Source organism: Homo sapiens, chromosome 10 (assembly GCF_000001405.40).
Source record: "Homo sapiens chromosome 10, GRCh38.p14 Primary Assembly".
In the NCBI taxonomy this organism is placed as follows: Eukaryota; Metazoa; Chordata; class Mammalia; order Primates; family Hominidae; genus Homo; species Homo sapiens.
In genome coordinates, this window is record NC_000010.11 from 56365933 (window position 1) to 56382684 (window position 16752).

Consider the following 16752-nt stretch of genomic DNA (forward strand, 5'->3'; position numbering starts at 1 on the left):
ACCTAATATGAGATCATCAAAATACATGAATCAAAAACTGAACTGCAAGGAGAAATAGATAAATCCATAGTCATTGTTGAGATTTCAATAAGCCACTTACAATAATTTATAGAACACTGAACCTAACAGCAGAATAGTCATGCTTTCCCAGTGTATACCCAATAGTCAAGTCCATATTATGGGTCATAAAATTAGCCTGAACAATTATAAATGAATAGTACAATGCAAAATATATAGTTTTTTTGTTTGTAAACGATCTAAATAGCCTCCTACATGCATTGAATGTGATGTTGTATGCTAATGTTGCAGTCTTTTTCTTTGACTTAATTAACTCCTAACATCTTTAGATTTCTGCTCAAATTTTTCAGACATGATCTAGATTATTGTTCAGATTTTTCAGACATGATCAAACCTTCCTTCACCTATATGCCTATATCAGGCCTCCTTACTATAGGCTCACAAAGCTCTACAGACTTTTTATCTAGTCACAGTTGCATTTTACATCTGCTTGTAGAATTATTTGAGTGATATCTCTTCTTTTCTAATAAGCTTATTGAGGATAAATGCTATTTTTTGTTAATAGTTGATACTAATAATTTGTTCTATGCACATAAGGGACAATTCATGCAAGGCTGCAGTAGGTCATTTTAAGCATATTGGTTTTATATAAACATAGTAGAAATCTATTGAAAGTTTCTTCATAATTAGATGGCAAGTCAGATTTTAGTATTGCAAAGTTAAGCCTCAATTATGGGTGGAAAAATAAAAGGTTGAAAAATGTGATTATTCCAGTAGGCTTAGTAAAAGGTGAAAACATTTTTGGATTCTATAAGTAACTTGGCACTAAAGATACAAATAGCTCGATATATTTAGGTGAAATACTTCATAGGTTTTATCATTTGTTGGATATGTTGGAGTTACTAAACGATGTATAAAATATGTTACTTCAGTTTCTGATGGTGCAACTGGATGAACTGTGATACAATTTATTTAAATAGTGATTCCTGGAAGATAATTCTATTTGACAAATGACAGAGGAAGATTTTCAACTTGATTTTGTTGACCTACCTATTAGAGGCATTTTAGCTATTCATGTATATATTTTTAAAAGACATTTGAATGTGTCTTGAATGGATAAGGAGGTTTAGGGCTTGGAAAAATGTGAGAACTGGAAATATATATTTGATCAACATAAATATGTAGGCAATTGAAACTGTGGAGGTCAATGGCATTCCGTATGCTGACTATAGAATGAACAAGAAAAGAATGCTGGAATCAATATAGTTGAGTAACTGACATATTGTGGATTTGTAGAAAAAAGATGAGTTTCTAGTAACAGAGAAGTACCTACAGTGACAGAAGCATTAAAGGAAATAAATTGAGATGCGTAATACAGAAAATTCTTAGGAGAATTTTCAGCAATTTTTCATTAGCCAATGTTTTAACGCTCTCCATTGCAATTTGTATTGTATGCATACTTCCAATTTAATGAAAAATGCTTTTCCTATGCATTCCATAAAGAATCTTCTTGCTTGACTAGTAAGAGTTCATTCTGCTTGATGTGTCTATGTTTTAACACTGTCTACATATTCTACATTTATGTTACAGTAGAGATAATAAATGACACTTGCTAAAATGCACATTTTGATTAAAGTGGCAGGGATTGGCTTTATGTGTGAGAGTTTAGATACCTTTGATCTATTTATCACAAATTCCTATGAAGATACTGCCTTTTGAATAAGATATTTTCCAAATGTATCAATGACATCACTGTTAACATCCAAATTTAAATAGTGTTTGATTAAACTGAAGACCAAACCGTTCAAGGATAAAACAACAAATTGCAAGTCAAAATGACATGCTACAAGGTGACGTTGGAAAATAGGACTTTAAACATCATACTGCATAAATTTGCCAACTCTATTTCCCCCTCTACTTGGCTCTGATTGGGAGAGATCTGGCCTAAAATTCTAGTGAAAATAACTGTAGATCAATTAAAAGGTATAAGTCTATGTCTTACTTTTTTCTGTGTTGTCCAATACGCAGCTTTTATTGTTTAGCACATATGAAATGGCTCTGAAAATAGTAGTTGCATTAACACTTAAATAGAATATCAACTATATTATTAGAATATATGAAGTGAGCATGGAGGCAAATTCATGTGAGATTTATAGAGCATTAAGCAAATATAAGTAAGCAGATAAAACTTATCTTTGCATTTGTCTATAGGCAGAACACCTCCAGTACTTAATAAAACATCAAAACTGACATCATACTTTTGGAATCTATTTCTATTGCATAGAAACTTCTGTTTGCTGTGTTTATCTCTCTCAGCATTGTTTTAGGAATTGAACCTATATTTCCAGATCATCACTTCCTTGAGGCAAGATCATCTAAATGGGTCATGGAAACCCAATAAATAAAAAAGATTATATATAAATATGTATGTATCTTAATATATACATATGGTCCCTGTCTTTCCCTCTCTGTACCTGTCTCTACATATATTTTCTCATGTATGTGAATATCTTACATTGTAAACATTATCTAAAAAGTAATATCTTGAAATTCACTTAATTTTCTCCTTGAATTTTAACACTAGCCTTTTTTCTCAATAGAATCTCTGATTGTTTGCTTTCTGTGTCACTTTTATTCACCGGTAGCTAAAATGTAATTTTATTGTGATATTTATTAACTTAGAGGCTTAAGCAATAATGGCTTAAATAAAGCACATGTGCTATAATGATTTCAAAGGATGCCTAAAAATGCACCTGTAGAAATCAGTTCACTTTGTATATGTATAGCAAAACTTGTTGTACACCTTAAATATATACAGTAAAATATTCCATGTACTATGTGTTACAATTGTCAAAAATATTTCTTCTACCTTCCTAAATGTAGGAATATTTCTACATTTATATCACATCCATTAACTGATGGATGTTTTTCCAATATTTCTTAAATATTCTCCAAGCAGTCTTAAAACTTACATAATTTAACCTGCTGAATTTTTTTTAAAAAGATACTTTTGGTAATAGTAACTTTTAAAAAACATTTTTCCATAACTAGCATTACAAAATGATAAAAATTTTATTTAAAAAACAAACTGGGGCTGGGTGCAGTGGCTCACGCCTGTAATCCCAGCACTTTGGGAGGCCGAGGTGGGCGGATCACGAGGTCAGGAGATTGAGACCATTCTGGTGAACACGGTGAAACCCCATCTCTACTAAAAATACAAAACAATTAGCCAGACGTGGTGGCAGGCGCCTGTAGTCCCAGCTACCTGGGAGGCTGAGGCAGGAGAAGGGCATGAACCCAGGGGGCAGAACTTGCAGTGAGCGGAGATCGCACCACTGCACTCCAGCCTGGGCGACAGAGCAAGACTCCGTCTAAAAAAACAAACAAAACAAACTTGATGAATATTTCTTTGTTTTGGGTGTTTGAATGCATTAAAGCAAGTTGTATATTCGATCAAAACCTCTACACAGTAAACTTATATGGCAGACAATAAAACAATTAAAGTGTTCATTAGGGGCTCAGACTCTTGATGAGCAAAATACTTTTGCTTTAATAAACCAATGAATATTTCTTCTGATTTTATTGTGTGTTTTCAGTGTTGCTTTGGGAATAAGTTTTACCTACATTTTAAAACAGTTTTATAAAAGTAGAAATTACATGCCTAGAATGTATTAATTATAAGTATAAAATTCAGTGATTTATTACATTGATAGAATTTTGCAATCAGTTTTAAGACATTTCATTAACCCTGGAGAGATCCATTTTGTCTCTTTGCAGTGAACTTCAGTTCCTACTCCCAGGTCCAGAAAAACAATGTTACAATTTTTGTCTCTGTAGACTAGCCTCTTCTGCACATTCAGGAAGTACACGATATTTAGGTTTTTGCATCTTTCTTCTTTCCCTTCGCACAGTGTTTCTGAGGATCATCTATGTTGTAGTATACATCAATAATTTGTTCCTGTCTATTGATGAATATATTCCATTATGTGGGTATACCAGATACAGTTTACTTGTTCACCAGTTGATAGAAATTGTATTGTTCTAGTTATTGACATTTATAAATAATGCTGCTATGAACTTTCCCTTAAAAGTTTTTGTGTGGGCTAGGAGCAGTGACTGATGACTGTAATCCCAGATCTTTGGGAGGCTGAGACCAGAGGATCACTTGAGGCCAGTAGTTCAAGACAAGCCTGAGCAACATAGCAAGACACTGTCTTTACAAAAAATACAACACTTAGCTGTGTTTGCTGGCATGCACCTGTAGTCCAAGCTACTTGGGAGGCTGATGCAGGAGGTTTGCTTGAGCCCAGAAATTCAAGGTTGCAGTGACCCCGATTGTGTGAGGTGGAAATTAAAGAAAGAAAGGAAAATGAAAAAGAGAAAGAATAAGTTTTCTGTATTAAGCTGACTCATCTGCAAGGCAGTGACAGGCAAAAGCTAGACCTACGCAAAAGTCCTGATAACATTATCTAAGAAGCCAGAGCTCAAAGGAATGTGCTTTGGAGACTCTCCCAGCACTCCCTTAACATTAGGAGAAGAAAAACAAATTTTCCTTTCTCTAATGATATGAGTAAATCTATGAGTTTATGTATTCCTATTCTCTGTAACTAGTAACTTCAAGTATTCTATTTTATGTAAGTGGCAGAGAAGGCCATAGGAAGCCTGAGCAGGCCTGAACTACAGCCACCTAGGCGCCATAGCGAAAGTTATGAGATAAGCCTGTACAAGGGACTTGAGTAAAAACTAGATAACAGCCATCTAGGCCACATAGCGAGATGTCATATGTAATCCTGAGTTATGCACCTGACACAATTTGATTAACTGTCTTTGTTCTGCTTCTGTACACTTCTTTCATGCCACTACGCTTCACAGCACTGTAAGCTAGCTTCAAACTAGCCAACCCCCTTTTTAAAGTGTGTATAAAAGCCAAGACTTGTCTTTGTTCTTAGTCCAGTTTTTAGTATGCTAGGTCTGAGTGCACTCACTAAAGATCCTCCTGTATTCACCCCGTAGTCTCTCTAGTCCTTCTGATTCCTGCAACAGTGCACTGCCCTCCAGCCTGGGTGACAGAGCAAGTGCCTGTCTGAAAAAGAAAAAAAAAAAAAGTGAACACATGTTGACATTTCCCTTGAGTAGATAACTAGAAATGGAATAGCTGAATCACAAGATAAATATATGTTTTGACTTTTCAAGGAAGTGCCAAGGTATTTTCTAAAGTGGTGCTACCATTTTACATTCCCACCTACTATATATGAGGGTTTCAATTTGTTCACATCTTTACGTGGTATGTTCAGTAATTTTCATTGTAAACGTTCTAGTGGGTCTAAGGTGGTATCTCATTGTGGTTTTATTGTGCATTTCCTCCCTGACTAATTATATTGGCCATATTTTCATATGTTTATTATCATCTGCCTATCCTCTTGAATGAAATGTCCATTCAGATACTTTGCCCATTTTGCAAAAGGGAGGTTGCTTTCTTAATATTGAGTTGTAAGAGGTATTTCTACTCTAAATAGAAGTATTTTTTAATCAGATACATAATTTGCAAAATGTTTTTTCCAGTCTGTGACTTGTTTTTTCATTGTTTTCAATGTCTTTTAGGCTATTAACATTTTGCCAAACTTAAGTTCTGGAATGCTTTTTTTGTATTTTCTTCTCAATTTTTTTTTTTTTTTTTTTTTTTTTTTAGTTTTTAGCTCCGACATTTAATATCTTTGAGCCAGGTTCAGCTACTATTTGTGTATGGTATAAGGTAAAAGCCTAAATTCATCATTCTGTATGTGGATATTCAATTCCTGCAGCACACTTGTTGAAAGACTATTCTTTCCTCACTTAATTGCCTTGACCCCGTTTTTCAAAAATCAATGGGCCATATAATTTATTGCAATTTCAGATCTTCTCTTCTAGACATTTGTTCCCAACACAAAGAAATGTCAAATGTCATAGGTGATGAATATCCTAAGTATTCTGATTTGATTATTACACATGTATCAGAATATCACAATCCCATAAATATGTACAATTATGTATCAATAAAAATAAAATTTAAAAAAATCAATTGGCCATAAATGTATTTTGTTTTCTAGTCTCAACTTTGTTTCACTGATCAGTATTCCTGTTCTTTAGGCAGCACCACATTGTTTTGATTATTGCTCCTTTATATTACATTAAGAAATTGGGAAATGTGAGTTTTCCAACTTTTCCATTGACAAAAATATCTTGGTTATTCTGAGTAATTTGTGTTTTCATATACATTATAGGAAGGACTTGTCAATTTCTGCTAAAAGGCCTATTGAGACTCTTTTGTAGAGATTAAATTTAATTAGACTGGAAGATATAAGTTACGGTTCTTTTTCTTTGTTTTTAAAATTTTTAATTTGCGTTTTCACTTCTATGTGGTATTTAAAAGCTTGGCTGCCAATAATTTTCAGAGACTATTTAACATCCTTACTGCATAAGACACTGAACCAGCGTTACCCCATGTGTCCCCAGGAATTGTCTGGAATTGGTGAGATTGAATGTTAGGTTGTTAAGTTCTTTATCCAGGTAAATATCTAAGATACACATATACACATGGAAAAGTTCGACTTCTAGAAAAAAATGCATACTCAAATAACAGTTTGACACAATAACCTCACCTTGTTTAAAAGGAAGTAGGCACAAAGTGTAAATACTTTATTCTCAATAAGATTATATTGACAAAACTAGATATTTTGCTATGAAACAATTAGGTGATTTTTTTCTTCATAAAAATGTAAACTAAACTCTCTGTTCTACAGATTTCAAGTACTAATTATCATAGTGCTTTGAAAAAGGCAACAGCAAGTACAAAATTGAGATGCATATTTTGAACTTCAGAAAAGGACCAATTTCCCCTTTAACCTGGCATCTTATTGATTGCATGACCAAAATTCACATGTATCAGTCCAAAGGCATTATATTAGGCTTTCAAAAATGCATATTTTCTCATTTAGTTGCCATAAAGAAACTCTCCCAATTGGCTTATTATTCCAAATCAATAGAAAGGAAACAGAAGCTCACAAAAGCTAACTTACTAAAGCCACAGAGCTGGAAAGTGGCAAATCTAAATCTGAGACAAATCTGTGTCACATCAGTCTGCTGTATTACATGTGCCAGTTGGAGTTAGACCCGAGAGTAGTACAAATAGTCTTTGAAATACCCTTCCTCACATCACTCCAATTATCAGTGTTTTCAACATTTTCTATCTTCAACCATATTTTCTAAATGTGTTTTGTAGGAAATTTGGCTGGGACAGAGAATGACCAAAGGCCAACCTTAGCTAAGAGAGGCTTTTTTTTTTTTTTTTTTTTAAATCAGAGGAAATGCATTGTTCCCTGAAGATGCTTATTGTCAGATTTATTATAGCACAATTCATGGCAAAATGCAAAGAGCAGGGTCTTTGGAATAAGAGATTGAAGTTCAATTACCTAGTACATTTGTAACCTTGGATAATTTACTTAGTAATTCAATTTTATTTATTGCATCATGATTGTAATTATGAGAATTTTTTTTTTTTTTGAGACGAAGTTTCACTCTTGTCATCCAGGCTGGAATGCAATCGTGCAATCTCGGCTCACTACAACCTCTGCCTCCCAGGTTCAAGCAATTTTCCTGCCTCAGCCTCCCAAGTAATTGGGATTACAGGCACCTGTCATCACACTTGGCAAATTTTTGTATTTTTAATAGAGAAGGGGTTTTGCCATGTTGGCCAGGCTGGTCTTAAAGTCCTGACCTCAGGTAATCCACCCGCCTTGGCCTCCCAAACTGCTGGGATTACAGGTGTCAGCCACCGCACCCAGCCTAGAATATTTCTTACGAGAAACCATAAAAGTTAATTTTTAAAAATGCCTCAACTTGTTTGACACATAGTGGACATTATTAACATTTTTGTTTCTGTTTTCATCAGTTTCTTTTGGAAGTCATATTTACATAAATCCAGAACATTAATAACTACAGAAATGATTTGGGAATATGTTTTCATGTAAGAACTTAATAAATGCTAAAAAGTATACAACAAGGATTAGACTAGTTTTCCAACAAGATTAGACTTATCTCTTTCAATTGCATTTTTACTATAATTTACAATCTTTACCTTTCACAGTTTCCTATTATTCATTTTTCAATGTCAGATTCATCAGCAAACTTAAAACTCTAATTTAGAGTTTCAGTAAAATAATTAAGAAATACCATTCTAGAAGCTTAAAATTTAACTTAGAAAGCTAGTACTACTCTTCCATGAACTATGATTCTGAGAGTCACCGATGATGTTAGCTACTGCTGTACTTGCCGGAATTTTCAGATCAAGATACTGCATTTTGTTTTAGGAGAGATCTTCATGTTTAGCATTTAAATTGCAGATCATAAGGTAATTCTTGCCTTTGCTTGCTAGTTCCAGATGGATAGATTCTGACTTACACACTGTTCAATTCCCTATTTTAGTCTGTCATTTCTCTAACAATGCTCAGCATCCATGCAGTTTGGACACAGACCATCAGAACTAAATTGCAATGCCCTCATGAGAAAGGGTTTCTCAACTAGGAGCAAATGCACTTGAAACCTTTTGGATTTTTTTCTAATCACGATTTAGCCCTACAGCTTCTTTCTTTTCATTTTATGTCAGTAATAAACCAAAACACCATGAGAAGTGCCTGAAAGCTAAAGGGATTAAAGTCGCAAACTTATTTTTACATATTTGTCGCACTTACAATCATGTTTGGGTTGTTTCTATTGCCTCATCCTAATTTTCAAGGGACATCATTTCACCCTATCTATATAAACTCTTTCCATTTAAGAAGAGTTATCTATTATTCATAGCTCAGTTTAAACACAAAGTTGATTTGGGTTGCCACTCAATAGCTATCAAGATCCACCCCAGGACAGCCAGTATTTCATAGGTGCACAAAGTGAGTGGTTTGGAAAAGTAACTAAAAGAACAAGGACAATCTGGGGATTATTCCCCATTTTACTCAAATCCATCTATTCTGTAATATTGTAATGTTGCTATAGAGGTTACTAATCCATTTGAAATTTTTTGTTTAAAAATGTTTATGAGGAAATGTCGTAAATCCTCAGGTAACTTTGTATTTCCGTTGAAGAAAATACATTAAAAAACAAATCATTTGTTGCCTTTTCCCCCATTCATATCTCTCTGTATCATATTAATACCCTATGTCCAAAACCAATATAATTTGAACAATTTGTTTTCCAGGTAATTAAATTTTTTAAATCATGGTGATTACAGTATTGGTTTTCATTATTTCATTGTCACAATGTGCTGTGTCATTCAAAAGTAGTGATATACTGACATTTTTCTCAGTTCTTTTGGTGATTTTAAATATCTAGGTATGAATTTTTATTGAGACAAACAAAGATATTTCTTCCCTATGTTAAGATTTTAAATCAAAGATGCATTACAAAATCCTCTACTTGTTAAAATTCTTCCAAGTATTATACTTTTAAAATTATATTTGCCTGGGTTTCTATTGAAATTAAGCATTTTTTCTTAATTGTATTAATGATTTGTGTATTCCTAGGAGCTAGTAGGTCATCTATCTGAATATAGGCCTTCCTTAGGGAACAGTCTTAGCATGAGAATTTAAGGACTATTAAAGATATCTGAAGTACATAAGTAAACCCCTCTTTGTGAAATGTCTGATCAGATCTTTTGCCCATTTTTTAAAATGGGGTTTGACTTTCTATTATAAGTATTATAAAACTTATAAGTATTTTTTATGTATTCTGGACACAAGACCGTTGTCAGAGGTATATTTTGCAAAAATTTTGTCTTTGTCACAAATATTTTAATTTTCTTAATGATATCTTACCAAAAGAAAATTTTTAAAAAGTAGTTGTAGTCCATTATATCAAATATACATTTTATGATTTTTACTTTTATACATATCATTTTAGAAATAGTTGTCTAAGCCAAGGCCACAAACATTTTTCTTAAATATTTCTGGCAGAAAGTTTATGTTTTCCACTTAAATATTTATATTTATGATCAATATCAAGTAAATTTTTGATGTAGCATGAGATAGATGTTGAGGCTTATTTTAAATATTACTATACAATTGTTTCAGCACCATTTTTTGAAATAATTATATTTCACTTTTGAATTAGTTTGACATTTTAGTCAAAAATAAGATTGACCATATCTAAGTAGATCTATTTTTGGAGTTTCTTTTGTGTTTCATTTGTGCATGTGTCTATTCTTATGCTAATACTAGAGTCCTAATTACTCTATTTTTATATTAATCCTTGTAATGGGTTAGTTTATATCCTCTAGCTTTGTTCATTTTCAAAATAGTTTTGGCTTTTTTTGTCCTTTACATTTCCATTTAAAGTTTATAATTAACATCACATTTTACAACAGATTTCCTTAGTTTTGGTTTGAGTTTGCATTAAATCTATAAAGGTGGCGAGAATGGTCACCTTAACAGTTTTGAATCATCTAATTTATGAACATAGATAACGCTCAAATTATAAGTATGTTCTTTGCCTTTTGTCTGCAACATGTTGTAGATAAAGTTGTACAGATTTATTTATATTTCATTTCTCTTTAGTTTTAATAATTCATATCCTTCAAGGATTTTCTTTATTTTAATTGTCAAAATTATTAGAATAAAGTGTTCACAAGTGTTAAATTATAATCTCTCCATTTCTTTTCTTATTTATTTTTTGAGACGGTGTTAGCACTTATTGCCCAAGGTGGAGTACAATGGCACCATCTGGGCTCACTGCAACCTCTGCCTCCAGCTTCAAGCGATTCTCCTTCCTTAGCCTCCCGAGTAGTTGGGATTACAGGCATGCACCACCATGCCCGGCTAATTTTGTATTTTTATTAGAGATAGGGTTTCTCCATGTTGGTCAGGCTGGTCTCGAAGTCCTGACCTCAGGTGATCCGCCCGCCTCAGCCTCCCAAAGTGCTGGGATTACAGACATGAGCCACCGCACCCAGCCTTCAATTTCTTGAGGATCTGTAGTAATTTATCCTCTCTTATTTCTGTTAGTCTCTTTGTCTGTCTCTCTCTCTCTCTTTCTCCTTTCTTTCCTCTCTCTGTCTTTTTCTCTTAATTAGTCCAGCTTGAGTTGTATTCATTTGTAGACTTTCTTTTTCAGAAATAACTTTGGGTTTATTGTTTCTCCTCTATAAATGTTCTGTGTTTTCAATAACAGTGATTTATGTTTGTATCTTTATTATTAATATTTCCTGGCATGTTTTATAAGTGCCAAATCGAAACTATTGGTTGATGATATTCTATCATCCATATTCTTTTGTGTCATGTCATTCTACCAATTGTTGAAAATAAAATGGGGAAACTTCCCACTATATTTGTGGATTTGTCTATTTCTCGTTTCAGTTCTATCTGTATTTTTGTCACATAGGTTGAAGCCCTGGAGTTTGGTTCATACACATATAATATTGCTATATGTTCTTGATGGGTTTTTAAATTTTTAATTATAATGTAATGCCCATATTTTTTCCTAGTAATTTTTTTGTTCCAAGGCCTAACTTTATAATGCTAATGTAGGCACTACTGCAATTTTTATTAATGTATGCAGAATATATTCTTTTTGCATAATTTTTCTTTTAATGTATGTGTTGCTATTTTTGAGTTTCTTAAAAAGAGCATATAGTTGGTTATGGTTTTTTTAAACCTCTGTCAAATCTTGTCTGTTAATGTGCATGTTTAGACATTTTAACATTTAAAGTATATTATACGTATGTATTTGTTATATATCAGTTTACATAAGTGAGGTTTGTTGGTGTCTATATATTATCGGTGATGGAATTTTGAGCTACATAATTCCATTTAGTTATTTTGTATGACTTGTATCTTTGCTGAGGTCTTCTAAATTCCATGAGATTTCTAAAGCAGTTTTATGATAGTTGTTTTAAAATTCTCCCCCAAATGACTCCAATTCATCTCCATATTGGCATTCCTTATCTTTTCTCACTAAATTTTAGTTCTCCTGCTTCTTAGTATAATGAGTGATGTTTTATTGTATCCTGGACATTTTGGTTATTCTGTTAGGTAATTCTTTTTTTCTATCTAAGTCTTCTGTTTTATCAGGAAGTTAGTTTAAGTTTAATGTGTCAGTTCCATTCTACTTCTGTGAGCTTTCATTCTCATAAAGTTTAGTTCCCGAACCCTTTCAATGTTATTCTTGGCTGCTCTATTTTCTCATGCTGCTGGAGCTCCTCCTGCTGAATCCCCCCAACTGGTGCTATCTGCAGGATCACTGGGCAGTCTTCTGGGGTGAAGCTAGAAGCCCCTGAATCTTGTCTTTTTATACTACTGGGTGGAAACCAAGCAGACACAGGGGTTTGCTATTGTTGTAGCTGTGAGCAGATGGGGCCACTCTCAGGGCCCTGGATCCAGAATGCGGATTGAATAACTAGGGCTTTACTTCTGCAGCTGCTGGGAGATCATAACACCCACCTGGCTTGAGTCATGTAGCAAAGGCTGAGATGGCTGAGGATTCACTGTTTCACTGCTGTTGATGAATTTGATCATTAACAGAATCCTCCTTTGTGGAAAATGCTTAACAATCCCCTTAGGTCTCTTGGCTTCTACTCTGCCAGACCTTTGGTCAAAAAGAGCAAGTTTTACCCTTTTTTTATTCTATGCCTATTGGTTGTTCCTTGCTGCAGGCCTTTCCAATACTTGGAATATAGAGAAAATAAAAAGATATCTCAGGGAACTCATCACATTATTATTTCTCAAGTCCTGTAGTGTCTAGCCTGTCTGCCTTCTTTTCAGCTTTCAGAATCCGTTTATTGTTGTCTATTACATAATTTGCAGAGTATGTAATTATACCTAGAGAAGAGGAACAGAAAAAAGTGAATCAACACCGTCTTCTTTCTGAAACTTTATTTATAGCTGTCATTATAACATATTTTTATATCATTCAAAATTAGCAGTGAACCTAGAACATAATACGTGCTTGGAAAGTAAATTATAAGTAAATGAATTAACAAGTTAAGTGGTTGCCTAAATAAAAGGAAAGAAGAAAGAAAGGAAAGAAGAAGAAAAGAAGTCATGAATGAAGAAAATAGAAAAGGAAAGAAAGATTGCTGTTGTTAATGGACTATTTTAATAACAATGTTATATATTGGAAAAGACACCAGCCTCACTTGTGTTACTAGCCAATTTATAATTTTGGTAATGAGTTTAAGTTTTATACACCTATATTTTCTAATTTATAAAATAAAAGGCTCTGATGAAAATTTGTTATCCCTTTCAGTCACGTATGTTCTGGGTCTTAAATAGTCTCTCTGAAAGCCATAATTGATGCTCCATTTAAAAGTGGTTTGCTATTAAGCTTATAGTTGTAGCTTCTGAGGCAGCATGCAAGCCCTGTGACACAGCTGTGCAGTAGTAGGTAACAGCAGCAAGTCAATTGAATTGGTGTAAAACAATAGGAGATTCTGTACATTTTTTTGAAGCAATGGCATATGTAGGGCATGAGTCAAAAAGATTGAGCTGCCAAAAAATGAAAGGCTCAACACAGCTTTCACCTGTGAGCAGCTGGTCACATACTTTTGGTTTTCCAAATAAGTTCACATGTTGAGAGAAACCCACCCAGTGATTGTTATCTTTGAACATCAAGGACAAACGTGTCATAGTTAATGCCTATCCAACTGTTAATGCAGTCTGTGCCTTTATTGGAACTTCTATTCCCAGTCTAAAGGATATTTCATTTAACTGATATACTTTGCCTTGTTGATGTTCCATTAGCACCTAACCTTTTTATGTAAGAAGTCACTAGGGATATGCTGAGGGTGCATATGTTTATTCTCTTGACCCAAACTTAACTAAGGAACTTATATAAAGAGTGTTAAACAAATTTCAGAATTCAGAATAAAATTTTCAATAAAGAAAATGTATAAATGTGACATTAAAACATTTTGCTAGAGGCATAGCTATGTACACTATCCTTCATAGATATATAGTATGCTTCATGAGTATATATGGCACCATGGTTGCTCTTCAGATGCAAGCTGGAAGACTGTTCAGGGTTAATATTTTGAGAGCTTTCTATAATCCCTTCCCTAAAGATAAGTAGAGCTTTCTAAAATGTAAATCTGGTTGTATATTTTCATTGCTTTAAGTCTTTCCATGCATATTTATTAAACATCTAGTGTGTGCAACACACTGTACTAATGTGGAGAATATGGTATAGAGTGTGAATAAAACAGATAAAAAAGTTACAGTCTATTAAGTGAATGCTTGAGACACCAAACTCTCTTAACAATTTTTTAGTTCCTACATGTTAATGACTGTTTATGACTTTTAAAAATGTTTTCCTATTTATTTTCCCCTCCTCACTTTCCCATTTTCCTCTACCTATATCCCCCTACCCTAAAGTAAAACTTGCTTTCAGTTGCCCTTAACCTTTGTCATATGCTCTTCCTTTTGACTGAAATATCATGTCATCAAAACCTGCATACTTATGTGAAAAATACCACTCATTTTCCATCCCTTGCTTTGATATCAGTTCTGAAAGTCCTTTCCTGGTGATCCTGACAGCCACTGGACGTTATCTAAATGCTGCTTCTCTACTTTCCCATACCACTGTCTATATACTGTCTTACAGTGGCTCTTATTACATAGTTGTAAACAATATTATATAGCCATATTTAGGTTTTCATGGATTTAGAACATTTTAAAACGTTGCCAATTGTGGTAAAATATGTAACATGAAATCTATCTTTTAAAATGTTTACATGTACAGTACATAATTGTTAACTATATGAACATGGTTGTATAGCAGGTCTGTAGATATTTTTCATCTTTCATGACTAAAGCTCTATACTCATTGAACGGCATATTCTCATTTCCCCTCTCCCCCTAACCCTAGGCAACTACAATCCCACTTTCTTTTTCTAAGAGTTTGAGACTTTAGATACCTTACATAAATGGAGTCATGAAATATTTGCATTTCTGTGACCATTTCATTTCACGTAGTATAATATGTCAGTGTTCATTCCTATGATGACATATGAAAAGATTCTCTTAGTTTTTAAAGAGTAGATAATATACCACTGTGTGTCATTTTCTTTATCCATTCATCCATCAATGGACATTTAAATCCTTTTCAACTCTTGGCTACTGTGAATAATGCTGCAATGAACATTAAAGTGCAGATATATTCCATTCAAGGTTCTGATTTCAATTCTTTTGGATAAATATCTGAAAGTATGAAGGCTGAATCATATGGTAGCTCTACTTTTTAATTTCTTTGGGGAAACTCCATAATGTTTTCGATAGCAGCTGGACCGGTATGAATTCCCACTGATGGGCTTCTAATTTCTCCACATCCTCATCAACACTTGTTATTTATGACTTTTTTCCCTTTTGTATTTTATTTTTATAATGACCATACATGTTAAGGTATGAGGTGATAAATTATTATGGTTTTATTTAGATTTCCATGATTAGTGGTACTGAGCATCTTTTTATATGCTGATTGGCCATTTGTATTTCTTCTTCGGAGAAGTGTCTATTGAAATTCTTTGACCATTTTTTAATTGGATCATTTGTTTTTATGTTGGGTTATTGGAGCACCTCATGTATTTTGGTATTAACCCCTATATCAGATATTTGCATTCCATACATTGGCTTTTCACTCTGTTGACTGTTTTCTTATCAGTGCAGAAACCTTTTAAGTTTAATTTATTCCCACTTGTCTATTTTGCTTTAGTTACTTGTGTTTTTGGTGTTATATCTAATAAATTGTTGACATAACCAATGTTATAAAGATTTTCCCTTACGTTTTCTTCTAAGAATTTTAAAATTCCAGATCTTACACTTAAGTCTTTAATCCATTTTCATTTGACTTTTGTGTAGTTTGTAAGATAGAGGTCCACTTTTATTTTACATGTGGATATCTAGCTTTTCCAACACCATTTGTTAAAGAGGCTATCATTTCCTCATCGTGTAGTTTTGGCACCTTTGTCAGGGATCATTTGATTGTACAGACGTGTTTATTTCTAGGAACTCTATTCTGTTTCATTGGTCTAAATTTCTGTCCTTATGCCAGTTTCACATTGACTTGGTTACTTTAGTTTTGTAATAGGTTTTGAAGCCACAAACTGAGGCCTTCGGCTTAGTTCTTTCTCGAGATTTTTTTTTTTTTTTAACTCTTCAGGGACTTTTCTGGTTGCATATGATTATAGGATTGTTTTCTCTATTTCTGAAGAAAAAAATGCTGTTGAGATTTTTATTGGGATAGTATTCAATCTGTAGAACACTTTGGGTTATATGAAAATATTAACAAGATTAGGTTTTCCAGTCTATGAATATGAGGTGTCTTTCCATTTACTTGCGTCTTCTATAATTTATTTTAGCAAACTTTTGTAGTTTTCAGTGTACAAGTCTTTTACCTCCTTGGTTAAGTTTATTCCAAAGTATTTTATAAATCTTGATGCTATTATAAATTTTCTTTTCAAATTGTTTAGTTGGTGTAAATAAACACCACTCATTTTTGTATGTTATTTTTATACTGCAGCTTTGCTGAATTTATTAGTTCTAACAATTTTTTGGTGGAATCATTAGGGATTTCTTCATATATGATTATGTCATCTGTGAACAGACATAATTTTATTCTTATTTTCTGATTTGGGTTATTTATTTATTTTTCTTGCCACATTTCTCTTTCTAGGACTTCCAGTACTATGTTAAATAGAAGTGGTGATAGAAGGCATCC